Consider the following 15297-nt stretch of genomic DNA (forward strand, 5'->3'; position numbering starts at 1 on the left):
CACTTTGGGAGGCTGAGGCAGGCAGATCATTTGAGGTCAGGAGTTCAAAACCAGCCTGGCCAACATGATGAAACCTTCGTCTCTACTAAAAATACAAAAATTAGCTGGATGTGGTGGTATGTATCTGTAGTCCCAGTTACTTGGGAGGCTGAGGCAGGAGAATCGCCTCAGCCCAGGAGGCGGAGGTTGCAGTGAGCCGAGATCAAGCCATGCCCTCCAGCCTGGGAGACAGACCGAGACTCCATCTCAAAAAAAAAAAAAAAAAAAAAGGAGAGAAGGGACATTTACAAAATGCAGAGGAGCCTGGGAGAGCTGAGCTGAGAAGGGAGAGGTAACCAGACTCCTTGGGATGACTGCTGAGTGTGGGGGGCAGGAGCCCAGGCACTGGATCTACAGACACGGGGAATCTGTGTTGCCTCGAGGGAAAGGGCCAAGCGTGAAATTGCAGCAGAAAAAAACCAAAATGTTAGAACAGCACAAGGCATTGATGCTCAGAGCAGGGCAGTTTTTCCACCTGTCACTGGAACAAATTCCCACAGACTCTCAGCCCAGGGACCAAAGGACCCACAGGCTAAGGCAGAGGGACTGAGACTGGCACCCCCATTTGGTAAGGGGGTGACCTATCAGGGCAGTGACAGAGAGAGTCCTTCGAGTCCAATAGACCTGGCTGTGAGTCCAGGCTCTGCCCAGACCCTCTAAGCCACCTTGAGGCTGCTATTTCTCTGAGTATCTGTTTCTAGATGTTTTAAAAGTGGGAGAGTCGCATTTCCTCCCTCCCAGGATCACGGTACAGTAAAGAGCTTAGCACTCTGCCTAATACATAGAACAAGCAGCAAATGTTCACTGCCGTTGCGATGACAGTGCCCTGGCAGGTGACCTGTGCTCAAGGCGTCCCAGTGCACACACACACTCACACACACACAGGGTAGGGCAGCAGATGGGACACACGCCCTGCCACAGGCCATTTTAAGGAGTCGGGGTGGGTGAGGACCCAGGCACGGTGGAGGAAAGAGGGAGGCAAGAAGCCTTTTTCAGCTTCCTTGGTGTCATCTCACAGTGCCTCCCTCAGGAGGGGAAAAGGGAGGGGAGTGAGAAGGCTGTTTAGCTGTGTTCCATACTGGCTGTGCCTCACACAACCGGCCCCACCCCGACAGGACTCCTTGGGGACAGAACGGGAGTGCATTCTCAGGCACCTAAATCTTACAGGCTCAGTGCCTGCACAGGGAGACGGGTCCGCAGCCCAGGGTCCCGGGCAGCTTTCGGGCTTGGGGGTGGATTGACACACAGCCCGATGGTATTCACACCCATTCCTTCACTGTCGCGCCCGGTCCTGGGGGACGGCATGGCACCAGCCAACGTCACGGGTTGGGTGTGAGTTCATGGTAGATTCTCACACGCCAGCCTCACAAGAGGCACTGCCGAGACCAGGCTTGCTGCCGCCTACTGTATGGCCGGCCCTGTGGGCACAGCTGTCCTCCACCCGCCTCCCAAGGCACCATCGGGCCCAGAATGTGCCCGATGAGTCACGGGCCTGGGTCTCCCCAGCATGGGCGCAGCAGGGGGGCTGAGTCCGCCTGAGCCCCGGTGCCCAGCTCAGGGTCTGGCACAGAGCAGATGCTAGTGAATGAACGTCGGGCTGGATGAATGAACGAATGACTAATGCCCGCTCCCTCAAACCACAGGCTACACCGTCTGAGCCTGGGGGAGGGCAGAGCCCACGGGACCCCAGAAGAGGCCTCCGCAGCTGAGGCTTTGCGTCCCAGGGTCGATGGGGGAGGGGGCGGGGCGGCCAGCAGCCGGCGCGGCACGGGGCTCCCCTCCTTCCCGAGAAGGAATCTGGGTCTCTGGACTGAGCTGGTGACGGGGGCTGGGGCGGGGGGTTGTGGCGTCCTGGATGGAGAGAGCTGCAGGAGCAGGGGGCGCGTCCCGGTTTGCGTTGGGGTGTGGGACGAAGCGGCGGCCGCGGGACATCCCCTTCGGTGGCGAAGCCCGGGTCTGCCCGGGGCCTCCGCGGGGTGCAGAGGGCTCCCAACGGCGGGACTGGCCCGGGGCGCCGCAGACCTGGCCCTTTCCGGCGGGGCCGTGGAGAAGGGGACGCGGTGTCCCCCGAGGTGACCGGGGGCGCAGGAAGGACGGGGGGCGCGCGGAGCCCCCTCTCCACGCGCGGGAGGTCCAGCCCCGCTACCGCCCCCTACGCCCTCCCGGGACCTCCGCCCACCTGCGCGAGGGGTTCACCTGGGCCGGCGGCCCCTCCTCTAGACGCGCGAGTCCCTCCCCCGGGCCCCGGCCCTGCCCTCCCCGCGCCCGCCCTCACCTGCACGGCCCGCCTTGGCCATGTCCCGGGCGGCGGGCTCCGGCGGCGCTACGCGCGCTCCTCGCGCTTCCCGGGCCCGGCCCCGACCGCCTCCGGCCCCGAACGGACTCCGAGCGCCGCGCCCGCGCCCCCGCCCCGCTCGCCTCGGCTGCCGCCACCGCAGCCGCCGCCGCCTCGCCGCTCCCTCCCGCTCCCTTAAAGGCGCCGAGCGGCGGCCGCGCCCCCCCCCCACCCCACCCCCCGCGCCGCCGGGGAGGGACTGACGAAGGAAGGCGCCCAACGCCGCCCCCGCGGGCCCGCACCCCCGCCCCGGGCCGTGGCCGCCGCGCTCCAGCCCGCTCCGCTCCGGCCCGCGCGGCCACCGCAGCGCGCGAGGGGCGGCAGCCCAGGGGCTCAGAGACGCGGAGACAGCCCGAGACACTGCGGGCCAGAGACGGGGCCCTGGACTGGGAGAGGGGCGCACAGACTATTAGACAGCGCTGGAGAGAGACGCTCCTAGGGCCAGAACGCCGAGGTGGAGGGAGAGAGAGAGAAATTCAGAGGAGACCAGAGACCCAGAGCCCGGCTCCGGCTCCGGGAGAGACGGACAGAGGGAGCGGAGAGAGGAAGGAGGACAGGGATCCAAGGGAGGCCCCCACGAAGTCAAGAGGAAAGTCGCTCTGGGATCAGAGACAAGAGAGGGACCCCCTCCATCAGCCCCCGCTCCAGGGGTTCTGGATCATTTATGGCGTCTGACCTAACCTCAAAAGAGAAAGGATTCCCGTGATTTTAACCCTCAAGGGATAAGTAAAACACTTGCACATCCACCTGGGGTTCTAGGCTGGAGCAGGCTTTGTGGACCCCAGCGGCCTGGTGGTGAGCAGTACCCGCCTTCCACTTCCTAAATCGGGATGCAGAGATTCTAGTGGACAGGCCTTGTGGTCCGGGGAGATATGGGTTATGACTTCTGTTTAGGGGCAGCAGGGATCCACAGTCCAGCCCCAAAAGAGAGCAGGAGATGGCCAATTGTATTTGGCGGTGCCTGAGAGGTAACAACCCTCCACTGAGAGGGTGCCCTGCCTCCCCCAGGAATTGGTAAGGCTGAAGCCCAGTTACCATCTGTAGAGCCAGGCACCCAACCCACCCTGTCCCACTCCACTTAACAGGGAAAAGGTCAACTGGAGAATTCCATCCATGGTCCAGGCTCCAGGGTCCTGCAAGCTCCTCTATGGAAACAGGGCACACATGGGGTTAGATGGGGGCTCTCAGTCCAGTGCCTTCTCTGGGGCTTTGACTCCATTCACAAGATTCCTGCTAAGCAGTCCTCCAGCTCCTGGTTGGTTACCTCCAAGGACAGGAAGCTCAGTATCTTAAGTGAGAGTTCTTCCTTTTATTAATTTTTTTTTTTTTTTTTTGGCTAGTGCTGGCCTTAAGAATGTTCTTACTCGTTTGAGCTGAAATCTACAACCCGCATGTCCCATCCATGAGTTCTGCTCTGCCTTCCGACACCTCACCCAACAAAACCAGGGCTTCCCAAGGCCTTCTACCCAAACTCCCTAGTATGGATTCACCCAGGGAGAACAACCATCCACGTTTGCCAGAGCTCACCTCCCAGGAAACCCATGAGTCCCAAGAGCTCTGGATCCCAGAGCCAGATGACAGCACCAACTCCAACAGATGTAGAATTTCAGAAGCTCTGGGCTCCTGAATCCAACGCTGTTCACCAGCACCTGCCATTGGTCACCAGCTGGGAGAGCAGGAATGGACCCTGCAGCCTTTCCCCACTATGAGAATGGGACTGGGGATGAGAATAACAAGGACTATTGATTGAACAGGCGGTATTTACCCTCATGTACTCTCTCAGCTACATTGCGTTATCCTCAGCATACACATAACGAAGTGGGGGCTAAGAAAGTTCGGTGCTTGTGGTCATGGAGGATCAATTTCAGGCCCCTGTGCTTTGTCTACTGGGCCTCACTGGCCTCACCCTTCCCTGAGGTGTTTCAGAGGCCTGATAGCCTGGACAATGTCCAGGCTTGGCCACCTGGTCTGTAGGTGTGAGTGGTCACGCAGGAGACAGAACGCTGGCTGCAGAAGAAGCAATGCGCCTGCCACAGAGGGGACACGCCTGGGCCTGAGCTCCTCCCCAGCCCTGGCTCACAGTAGCAGCAGTGACCAGAGGGCATCAAGGGCCCTCCTGCTTCTGGGCACAGCTTCACGTTGTGTTTGTGTGTGTGCCTGGGTATGTGTGCATGGGGTGTATGTGTGTGTGCTTGTGTGTGCTTAGGGATGCATGCATGGGTGTGTGTAGGCACACTCGTACACACAAACACAGGCAAACACCTGCTGACAGATGCTCCCTGGGTGGGCACCCAGACCCCTTCCCCTCCCACCACTTAGTCCTCACAAACCCTAAACTAGTCACCCAGAAGGGCCTGGGTGGAGCGGTTAAGGGGAGGTGCCAAGTTGATGGGAGTTTCAGAACTCATCTCTCCAGACCACTCCACACCCCATTTCTCAGATGGGAAGACAGTAAGCCAGATCTGTCCCCTGAAAACCACGACTCAGAGGCCCAGATCCATGGTTCCCCTCTTTAAACCTTCACCCCAGCCTCTGTCCGCCCCTAAGGCAGCCCCTGAAGGCACTGACTGTTACCAGCTGCCAAGGAAGTTCCAGCCCAGCCTTCTGACAGAGCAAACACATCAAAACTCAAGGCCATTAGATTAACTGGTGGGAGTTAACTTCCTGCGTCAGAAGAATTGTCCTTAATTGAAGAAAGGGATAACTAGCAATTTAGCCACGCTGACCTCTGCTGCCCGGAGGAAAGAGAGGCAGGAGCCAGCCAGGGCCTACGGGGCCTCCCAGTTACCAGAGTTACTGTGCCAGTAACTCTCCCAGTTACCAGAGTTACTGTGCCAGGAGACCAGATCAAATCCCTTCTCTGAGACCTGGCACCCAGGCCCTTTCCTCTGACCACAGCTTGTTCTGCTCCTGCCTTCACAGTGGCCAGCTGCTCCCAGGCCCAGGCAAGCATCTAGCCCAGAGAACCAGTAAAAATGAGCAGGGGCCCATCCTGTCAATGGCTGTGGAGGACGTGTGCAGAGATGTGGACAGGTTGGAGAGCTCCAGGTGGGTAAGGAGTGGGAGCTGGCTGCAAGACAACTCCTCGACATGGCAGACCCCAGGCCTGGCTATCCAGCCTGGACAGCTGGTGTGAGCACTTGGAAAGCTAAGTGACAGTTCCTAGGAGCCAACATGGCCCCCCTGAAAGCTAGTCATGCCAGGCAAAGCTCATTTCCTATTTGGACACGGTTATAACGACTAGTGGAGTTGGGCATCGCCTTGCCTTCTGGGCCTGGGTTGGGGCACGGCTGCTGCCCAGCTCTCTGACAGTAACTTTGTAAACAACAAAGGGAGTCAGGAGCAAGAAGATAGCCTGGTCAAGTGGCTTACCCCGGTCCACTCCCTGATGGGCTCCAGTGGAGGGAGCCTCCACCTCCCTCCAGGACTTGAGCCATGTCAAGCATCTCAGCGCAAGTGCTCACAACAGAGAATAAGCTGTGTAAGAAGGACGCTGCTCATGCAGACTGGACAGATGCACGGCTGTTCACCATGGCCTTGACAAGCTGGGACCACGGGCCAAACCCAATCACCATGGCCTTGACAAACTGGAACCATGGGCCAAAGCCAAGAGGATGACATGAACATGGACAAGCAAGTGGGGCCATCCTCCCAGGCCAAACACAAACATCCAGCTAGGAGTGTTCACTCCCACTTGTAAATTTCCACAGCCCCTTTTGTCCTTGAGTCTCACTCCCTGGCCAATATCACATCACTATGTCTCACCTGGACCACTGGAAGCACCCCTTCCTGATGTATTTCCCAGCCTATGTACCCTTCTTCACCCCCTCCTTTCTGGTTCCTATGCTTTAAAGTGTCATGGTTGCTGTCCACTGCCATGGGAACCACCCCTAATCATAAAAGTAGTCCCAGACACAGTTGCTCTTCCTTGGAGTCTTACAGAATTGTTCTGAGAGTAGCTGGTTTCTTGTCACCGTCTCCTCCTTGCCCCAGGATGCCCCCAATTCCACCCAGCATCCAGAACACTGAGTGGAACATGCCCTTCCATCCAGAACTACTCTTCTCCTCGTCCTCCTCCTCCTCTTCCTTCTCCTCCTCTTCCTCCTCCTCTTCCTCCTCCTCCTCTTCCTCCTCCTCATTCTCTTCCTTCTCCTTCTCCTCTTCCTCCTCCTTCTCCTCTTCCTCGTAGTCCTCCTCCTCCTCCTCCTCCCCTCCTCCTCTTCCTCCTCCTCTCATTATCCTCCTTCTCATTCTCTCTCTTCTCCTCCTCTTCCTCCTCCTCCTTCTCCTCCTCCTTCTCATTGTCCTCCTTCTCCTCCTCTTCCTCCTCCTTTCTCATTCTCCTCCTTCTCCTCCTCTTCCTCCTCCTTGTCTTCTTCCTCTTCTTCTTCCTCCTCCTCCCCTCCTTTTCCTCCTCCTCTTTCTTCTCCTCTTCCTCCTCCTCCGCCCCTCCTCTTCCTCCTTCTCATCCTCCTTCTCTCCTCTTCCTCCTTTTCCTCCTCCTCCCCTCTTCCTCCTCTTCCTCCTCCCCTCTTCTTCCTCCTTCTCTTCATTCTCCCCTCCTCCTCCTCTTCCTCCTCCTTCTCCCTTCCTCTTCCTCCTTCTCCTCTTCATTCTCCCCTCCTCCTCCTCTTCCTCCTCCTTCTCCCTTCCTCTTCCTCCTTCTCCTTCTCCCCCCTCCTTCCCTCCTCTTCCTCCTTCTCCTCCTCCTCCCCCCTTCCTCCTCTTCCTCCTCCCCTCCCCCTCCTCTTCCTCCTCCCCTCCCCCTCCTCTTCCTCCTCCTCTCCCTTCCTCTTCCCCTTCCTCCTTCTCCTCTTCCTTCTCCCCTCCTCCTCCTCTTCCTCCTCCTTCTCCCTTCTTCTGCCTCTTCCTCCTTCTCTTCTTTCTCCCCTCCTCCTCCTCTTCCTTCTCCTCCTCCTCCCCCTCTTCCTCCTCCTCCTCTTCCTCCTCCTTCTCTTTGTTCTCCCCTCCTCCTCTTCCTCCTCCTTCTCCCTTCCTCTTCCTCCTTCTCCTCTTCTTTCTCCCCTCCTCCTCTTCCTCCTCCTCCTCCTCCTCTTCCTCCTTCTCCCCTCCTCCTCCCCTCCTCCTCTTCCTCATCCTCCTCCCCTCTTCCTCCTTCTCCTCATCCTCCTTCCCTCCTCTTCCTCCTTCTCCCTCCCTCCTTCCCTCCTCTTCCTCCTTCCCTCTTCCTCCTCTTCCTCTTCCTCCTCCCCTCCCCCTCCTCTTCCTCCTCTCCCTTCCTCTTCCCCTTCCTCCTCCTCCTCTTCCTCCTCCTCCCTTCTGCCTCTTCCTCCTTCTCCTCTTCTTTCTCCCCTCCTCCTCTTCCTCCTTCTCCTACCCTCCTCCTCCTCTTCCTCTTCCTCCTCCCCTTCTCTTCCCCTTCCTCCTCCTCTTCCCATCCTCTTCCTCTTCCTCCACCTTTTCCTTTTCCCTGCTGGTGGCTGTGGCTTATCTAGTGTGTGCTCTTTTTTTTTTTTTTTTTTTTGAGATGGAGTCCCACTCTGTCACCCAGGCTGGAGTGCAGGGGCACAATCGCAGCTCACTGCAACCTCCACATCTGGGGTTCAAGCGATTCTTCTGCCCCAGCCTCTTGAGTAGCTGGGACTAGACACCCAGCTAATGTTTGTATTTTTAGTAGAGACAGGGTTTCACCATGTTGGGCCAGGTTGGTCTTGAACTCCTGACCTCAAGTGATCTGCCTGCCTCGGCCTCCCAAAATGCTGGGATTACAGGTGTGAGCCACCGTGCCCAGCCAATCTAGTGTGTGCTTCTACCTTCGACCCCAAGAAGGGCTAGGACCTGCCTGTCTTAATCCCCTCTGGTGAGTCCATTCTCAGCAGTTACGTTGACAGCTGTGGCTTCACCCTCAAGGCAGATGCTGTAAAGAAGGCACTGGCCACCACCGTCTTATGTGTGATTTCCTGCAGGGGCAGGAAGATTCCCTTAAGGTTAACACGTGACCTTTTAGGTGAGCCCCAGACCCCCATGTGTAAGGACCCCCCTACCCAAGACAGACCCCCCACGGAGCAGACCAAGCAAAATGTTCTGTCTTTACATGAGACTGCATTCCCCCTTTATTCTCACCACAGTGGGCGGCAAAATCTAGAAAACATACATGTGCGTGTTTCCGCTGTGTTTTCAAAACATGTCTGGAGACATCTGCAGAATCTGTTGAACTGGACCTCATCAGATTATTTATTTATTTATTTTTTATTTTTTAATTTGAGACAGAGTCTCGCTCTGTCACCCAGGCTGGAGTACAGTGGCCCCATCTCAGCTCACTGCAACCTCCGCCTCTCAGGTTCAAGCAATTCTCCGGCCTCAGCCTCCTGAGTAGCTGAGATTACAGGCACAAGCCACCATACCCAGCTAATTTTTGTATTTTTAGTAGAGATGGGGTTTCACCATGTTGGCCAGGCTGGTCTCGAACTCCTGACCTCAAGTGATCTACCCGCCTCAGCCTCCCAAAGTGTTGGGATTACAGGCGTGAGCCACCACGCCTGGCCCAGCTTTTTATTTGAGATGCTGAAATAAGTTGAGGCCCAAGCCTGGATTGCGTTTTCTCAGTTGCTGTTTAGCTTGCTTTAGCCTTATTGAATGGGGTGTGCTGGTAGATGGGATTTTGGAGAGGGGATCTGGAGAGGCTGAGGGGTGGTTGGGTAGAGGCAAGGAGAAATCTAGCAGCTGCCGTAAGGAGAGGAATTATGAGGAAAGAGCTTAATCAGGCTGCCCAATAGGTTCTGCTGTGGAGCCCTCCTATCTGCCCCCGAAAATGTCAGCAACAATTTATCTCGCTCACAAAGCTTTGGCAGTTGGACCTGCGTTTTGCGCTTGTTTGCTGTCAAGACTTGAGATTGGCCCCAAGCAAGCCCAGTTGTCTTGAAGTTACACTTAGACCAAATTAAAATTAGAAACTGGGTGAAAATCTAAAACTCTCTGCAGGATGGGCTCTTTGTGTCTGCATTCCTGCAAATTCCCATCAGCACTGGGTGCCGAGGAACAAGCAAATCCAGAGGCTCTGACCTCAGCCGTGTCCCTCCCCTGCCCCAGCCTCACACACAATATTGTTTGTTCCTGACAGATCCCAAAACTCAGAAAATCAAATACAGTGGTAGATGATAAGGCAGACAGATCAAGGGGGGAAAGCTGCCTGATTACTAACAAAACAGTGTTGGACAAGGGCAGAAAATCACAATCAGATCATGTAAAATGATGATTTTAATAGAAGGTGGCCGGGCACTGTGGCTCACGCCTGTAATCCCAGAACTTTGGGAGGCCGAGGTGGGCGGATCACGAGGTCAGGAGCTCGAGACCAGCCTGGCCAACATGGTGAAACCCCGCCTCTACTAAAAATACAAAAATTAGCTGGGTGTGGTGGCGGGTGCCTGTAGTCCCAGCTACTTGGGAGGCTGAGGCAGGAGAATCGCTTGAACCTGGGAGGCGGAGGTTGCAGTGAGCCAAGATCGTGCCACTGCACTCCAGCCTGGGCGACAGAGCGAGACTCTGTCTCAAAAAAAAAAAAAAAAAATAGATGGTGACTTTCTCTGCATCTGGTTTACTATCTCCACGTCTTATGGTGCTTGCACCTTTGCCTTGGCTACAGGTTTCCTTTCAGGCTCTGCTACTCTCCGAGGTCCTCACTCTGGAGCCCATTGTTTTGGTTCCAGCTGTGGCTGTGCTATCCAGGTCCCAGAGAAACCAACATGGCAGTGTCAGAAGATCCCGTGGGATCACCTGGATCCAAACCATCTTGACTTTGTTTTAACCTAAGGTGCACATGGTAGGCTATCATAGGACTGGTGGTACAGTGCTACCCCACATGGCATCTCCCCCCAGTCTGGGCACAGTCTATCATTAGTCCCCAAACCCCATTCTATTCCTCTCCTCCAGGGGTCTACTTTGAATTTGCACATTTCCCAAACTACTTTCATTTTTTTTCTTTTCTTTCTTTTCTTTTTTTTTTTTTGAGATGGAGTCTCATTCTGGAGTACAGTAGCGAGATCTCGGCTCACTGTAACCTCCGCCTCCCAGGTTCAAGTGATTCTCCTGCTTCAGCCTCCCGAGTACCTGGGATTATAGGCGCTGGCCACCACGCCCAGCTAATTTTTCTATTTTTAGTAGAGATGTGTTTCACCATGTTGACCAGGCCGGTCTCGAACTCCTGACCTCAGGTGATCTGCCCGCCTTGGCCTCCCACAGTTTTGGGATTACAGGCGTGAGCCACCACACCTGGCCTCCCAATCTGCTTTCTAAAGCTTTTCCCCATCTGTATGTATGCATGAGTGTTACATACTCGTATGTATGTATTTCAAACATTACGGAATGTCACCATGGGGACAGCATATTCTGCTTCTTACTTTCCCCTTTAGTATTGTTTTTTGAGATGAATCCACATTAGTATTTGTAGATTTGGCTTGTTCCTTTTGACTGCTGCATACTATTTGGTTGTGTGATATACCTCATTTTATTTTTCTAATCTCCTCTAAAGGACCAATTAGGTCTCATAGTTCCTCGCTGTTACAAACGGTGCTGCAGCAAACAGCCCGTGCACTTCTTGTGTTCCCATGTGAGAACCTCTCTGGGGCTCTCACACAGCGTTGGAATTGTCGGGCCATAGGGAATTCCACATTCCGCCTCCCTAAATAACTCATCGCCAAACTGCCCTCTCGAGAGGCTGTTCTGCTGGTCCCTTCATTTGAAGGATGGTAAACCCCAAGCCCAGAGCAGGAAAAGTGAGCACTAGTTTTAGAAACCAAGAGTCTTGAGGCCGAGCATGGTGGCTCGTGCCTGTAATCCCAGCACTCTGGGAGGCTGAGGCAGCGGGCGAATCACCTGAGGTCAGGAGTTCAAGACCAGCCTAGCCAACATGGTGAAACTCCACCTCTACTAACAATAAAAAAAAAAATTAAAAAAATTAGCAGGGCATGGATGGTAGGCACCTGTAATCCAAGCTACTGAGGAGGTTGAGGCAGGAGAATTGCTTGAACCCAGGAGGCAGAGGTTGCAGTGAACCAAGACTGCACCATTGCACTCCAGCCTGGGCGACAAGAGTAAAACTCCTCCAAAAAAAAAAAAAAAAAAAAAAAAAAAGCAAGTGTCTTGCAATCTACCTAGGGCTCCCCTGGCCAGAACACTCCAGGGCCCACTGCCTCTCCTCAGAGTCTCCTGCAGAGCCAGCAGGGTGGCTGCAGTCTCACTGAGCAGGAACCTCTGCCCTGGGATAGAAATTTCATCTCTCGGCCGGGTGCAGTAGCTCACGCCTGTAATCCCAGCACTTTGGGAGGCTGAGATGGGCAAAACACCTAAGGTCAGGAGTTCAAGACCAGCCTGCCCAACATGGTGACTAAAAATACAAAAATTAGCTGGGCATGGTGGTGGGCGCCTGTAATCCCAGCTACTCAGGAGGCTGAGGCAGGAGAATCACTTGAACCCGGGAGGGAGAGGTTGCAGTGAGCTGAGATCACGCCACTGCACTCCAGCCTAGGCAACAGAGCGAGACTCTGTCTCAAAAAAAATTAAAAAAAAAAAAAAGAAATTTCATCTCTCTCCTCCAGTTTAAGTGCAGTGGTGCCCACCACAACCCTCCCAGAAGGCAGGGGAGAAGAGTGGGTTGTGTGAGCTGTCGGCATGGAAAGGCATCCTGTGCAACAACAGAAATAAGTGTTGGTGCCCCCCAACCTCCACCCCACTATCACACATTCATATGATGAAAACTCCTACTACAGCCCACCCTGCAGAGACGGAATCTGTGCCATTGACCCAGACCTGAAAGTGTACCGTTGCTGACTCCTAAGAGAGGACCCCACACTGCTGGGAGCACAGGCAGCTGCTGAATAAAAGCTAAGACAGTTGTTGTGGGGAGCAAGCCTCTAAGAAAAGGTCATTTTGGGCGAGGCATGGTGGCTCACGCCTGTAATCCCAGCACTTTGGTAGGTCAAGCAGGCAGATCACGAGGTCAGGAGATCGAGACCATCATGGCCAACATGGTGAAACCCCGTCTCTACTAAAAATACAAAAATTAGCCGGGCGTGGTGGCGAGCGCTTGTAATCCCAGCTACTTGGGAGGCTGAGGCAGGAGAATCGCTTGAACCCCGGAGGCGGAGGTTGCAGTGAGCCAAGATGGCGCCATTGCACTCCAGCCTGGGTGACAGATCAAGGCTATGTCTCAAAAAAAAAAAAAAAAAAAAAAAAAAGAGTCATTCTGTTCTTCCCTCCTTCTCCCCGATTCCGGACTTTGTGAAAACCTTCAGATCTCTGATGGCTTAAAGCTTGTAGGGGAGAAACCCCTTCACTTATTAGGAGGCCATTCCAGTTCTTTAACTCTACCAGCTGGGAAGCTCTTCCTGTTGCCTCTACTTCTCTCCTGCTGTACAGCAGCAGCACGCTAAGAAAAATAACAACCGGCCGGGCGTGGTGGCTCACACCTGTAATCCCAGCACTTTGGGAGAGCGAGGCAGGCGGATCATGAGGTCAGGAGATCGAGATCATCCTGGCTAACATGGTGAAACCCCGTCTCTATTAAAAATACAAAAAAATTAGCCGGGCGCGGTGGCAGGCGCCTGTAGTCCCAGCTACTCCAGAGGCTGAGGCAGGAGAATGGTGTGAACCCGGGAGGCGGAGCTCGCAGTGAGCCAAGATCACGCCACTGCACTCCAGCCTGGTCGACAGAGCGAGACTCCGTCTCAAAAAAAAAAAAAAAGAAAAGAAAAGAAAAGAAAAATAACAACCAGAAGAACAACAGGAATAGATATTTGCTGAGTGACTATTATGTGCCTGGAAGTGTTTTAAGTGCTTTTCACGTGTTTCCTCTTTGAATCCTTATAGCAACATTAGGAGGGAGGGATTCTTAGAACCATTCCCATTTTACAGATAAGGAAACAGGCTTAGAAAGGCCTCACAGCTAATAAGTGGAAGAGCAAGTATTTAGGTCACACAGCTAATAAGTGGTAGAGCAGGTATTCAAACCCAGTCCCTCTAATGTCCACACTCCTGCCTTCGCCACAAGAGAAGAAGAAGACAGGAAAAAATAAGACAAAAACCAGACACAGAAAACCAAGAGGCTGAGGTTCTGCCACTAAGTGCTGGTGCAACCTCACGCAATTCACCAAAGCAAGCCCCTCCTTGTCTATACAGTGAGCCTGCTAGACTCACCGGTGTCCCTGAGCCTTTGGGGCTTGGCTGCGATCCTATGGTTTTCCTAATCCCTGTGCGAGGTGCCCTGACAAGTAGAGGGGGTGAGGGAGGAGCTGAGTTGGCAGGATTCTCCAGGGCCCAGAGGCAGCTGCCTTTGCCTGGGCAGGGCCTCCCGAGGCTATCAATGCCTCCCTCCTCTGTGGCTGCCAACCTAGTATCCCAGGCAGATCTCCCGGGGCTGCTGGGGCTATCTATTCATATTGCAATTTGAATGCTTCTGGTCAGAATGACTAAAAGGCTGAATTTTACAAGGGTTTTGAAAGTGAATTGACTCCACTTATTAAAGATATACTAGATTACACGCCGAGTGAAAGGACACTCTGGGGACTCCAGGCATCGCAGCCTTTCACAAAGACGGAAACATCCCTTTTCGAGCCATTCCTGGTAAACCACAGTGGGAGACGTTGCACCAAGCAGATGCCGATTAAATTACCGGCTGAAGGACACAGTCCATCAGAGAAACATCTTGGCCCAGAAGGGCCACTGGTGAATGAAGACGCAGTTCCAGAAATCCCTTCTGGTTGTTTTATGTAAATCAGTTTCTAAAGGCAGGAAGGCAAAGGCAAAAAGGTAAGTATTCCTGGGAAGCCCTGACCTTCAGTCATGCAGCTTATAAGGGGGAGAGAGGGAGAGAGGTGTGACGGGTAGGGAAAGTGATGGACAGGGAGGGGCACACAACTGCTCTTTGTTTTCAGGTTCAGAGCACCTGGGGAGGGAGTCTCAGCTGGTGGGGGCTTCCTCTGTGCAGATGAGGAAGCAGAATAGCTGGAAGGACTTCCTGGACTTGGAACCTGGCGGCGGAGGAAGGCCCTCCCGAATCCACGGGATCCAACCCCGGCACCTCACTGTACTGATGGGGAAGCTCAGCACTGGGTAATGGGGGTGGGGGGCAGTCAAAAACAGGGCATTTGGTGGCACAACTGGGACTGAAAGACAGTCCAGGCTCTTAACTCAAGGCTCTCTCCTCCCACTCTCCCATGGAGATGTAGGCGGCTGTCCCTGGCTTGTGTCGGTAAGTCTTTCCTCTCTCTCTGTGTCGCCCTGAGAAGCATTCCCTTCCACGCATCGCTGTCAAGAGAAGCAGCAGCATGTAGCAGGTACACAGATCGCAGTTGCTTGCAGATGTCATAGAAGGTCCAGGCAATGTGTATGCAACACCGGTTGCTTCCCTTTCTAAGTAACAGACACAGATTCAGTCTCTCTGAAGCAGAAAGGGAGTTTATTGGCAGGCTATCGGGATCTCAGAGAATCAGAGGAGCCTGCAGGGATAGGCTTGAAAAGCAGATGGGGCTGGACACAGTGGCTCATGCCTGTAATCCCAGAACTTTGGGAGCCCGAGCTGAGCAGATCACTTAAGGTCAGGAGTTCGAGACCAGCCTGGCCAACATGGTGAAACCCCATCTTTACTAAAAAATAAAATAAAATAAAATACAAAAATTAGCTGGGTGTGATGGTGCATGCCTTTAGCCCCAGCTACTCGGGAGACTGAGGCCAGACAATCGCTTGAACCTGGGCGGCAGAGGTTGCAGTGAGCAGAGATCACGCCACTGCACTCCAGCCTGGACAACAGAGCAAGACTCTGTCTCAAAAACGAAAAAAAAGAAAAGCAGATGGGAACTGAGGCTGCTGGAGAAGGCCAAGAACTTTCTAGAAAGCACAGCAGTCACCTTTTAGCAGAAGGACTTTAGTCTGATGGCCACTCTCTTCGCTGTACACACCAGCCCCTGAAT

The 15297-nt window shown here is 54.4% G+C and overlaps 1 protein-coding gene across 5 annotated transcripts in view, besides 2 other annotated features; it reads right to left on the reverse strand.

The window, feature by feature from the left end:
- Positions 1–2485, reverse strand: part of PITPNM3 (PITPNM family member 3) — a 105293-nt gene extending 102808 nt beyond the window's left edge. For all 5 annotated transcript variants that reach the window (NM_001165966.2, NM_031220.4, XM_011524015.4 and 2 more), the window contains exon 1: positions 2315–2485. In NM_001165966.2, the coding sequence (NP_001159438.1) occupies positions 2315–2336 (22 nt within the window). In that variant the 5' untranslated portion in view covers positions 2337–2485. The remainder of the gene's footprint in view (positions 1–2314) is intronic.
- Positions 750–1396: an enhancer, noted in NCBI's record as "H3K4me1 hESC enhancer chr17:6458140-6458786 (GRCh37/hg19 assembly coordinates)". NCBI's record gives its function as "activates a minimal SCP1, AML or CMV promoter by ChIP-STARR-seq in primed H9 embryonic stem cells {active_cell/tissue: H9 hESC(primed)}" and the evidence as "EXISTENCE:reporter gene assay evidence [ECO:0000049][PMID:30033119]".
- Positions 13617–14117: an enhancer, noted in NCBI's record as "H3K4me1 hESC enhancer chr17:6471007-6471507 (GRCh37/hg19 assembly coordinates)". NCBI's record gives its function as "activates a minimal SCP1, AML or CMV promoter by ChIP-STARR-seq in naive H9 embryonic stem cells {active_cell/tissue: H9 hESC(naive)}" and the evidence as "EXISTENCE:reporter gene assay evidence [ECO:0000049][PMID:30033119]".

Source organism: Homo sapiens, chromosome 17 (assembly GCF_000001405.40).
Source record: "Homo sapiens chromosome 17, GRCh38.p14 Primary Assembly".
Classification (NCBI taxonomy): domain Eukaryota; kingdom Metazoa; phylum Chordata; class Mammalia; order Primates; family Hominidae; genus Homo; species Homo sapiens.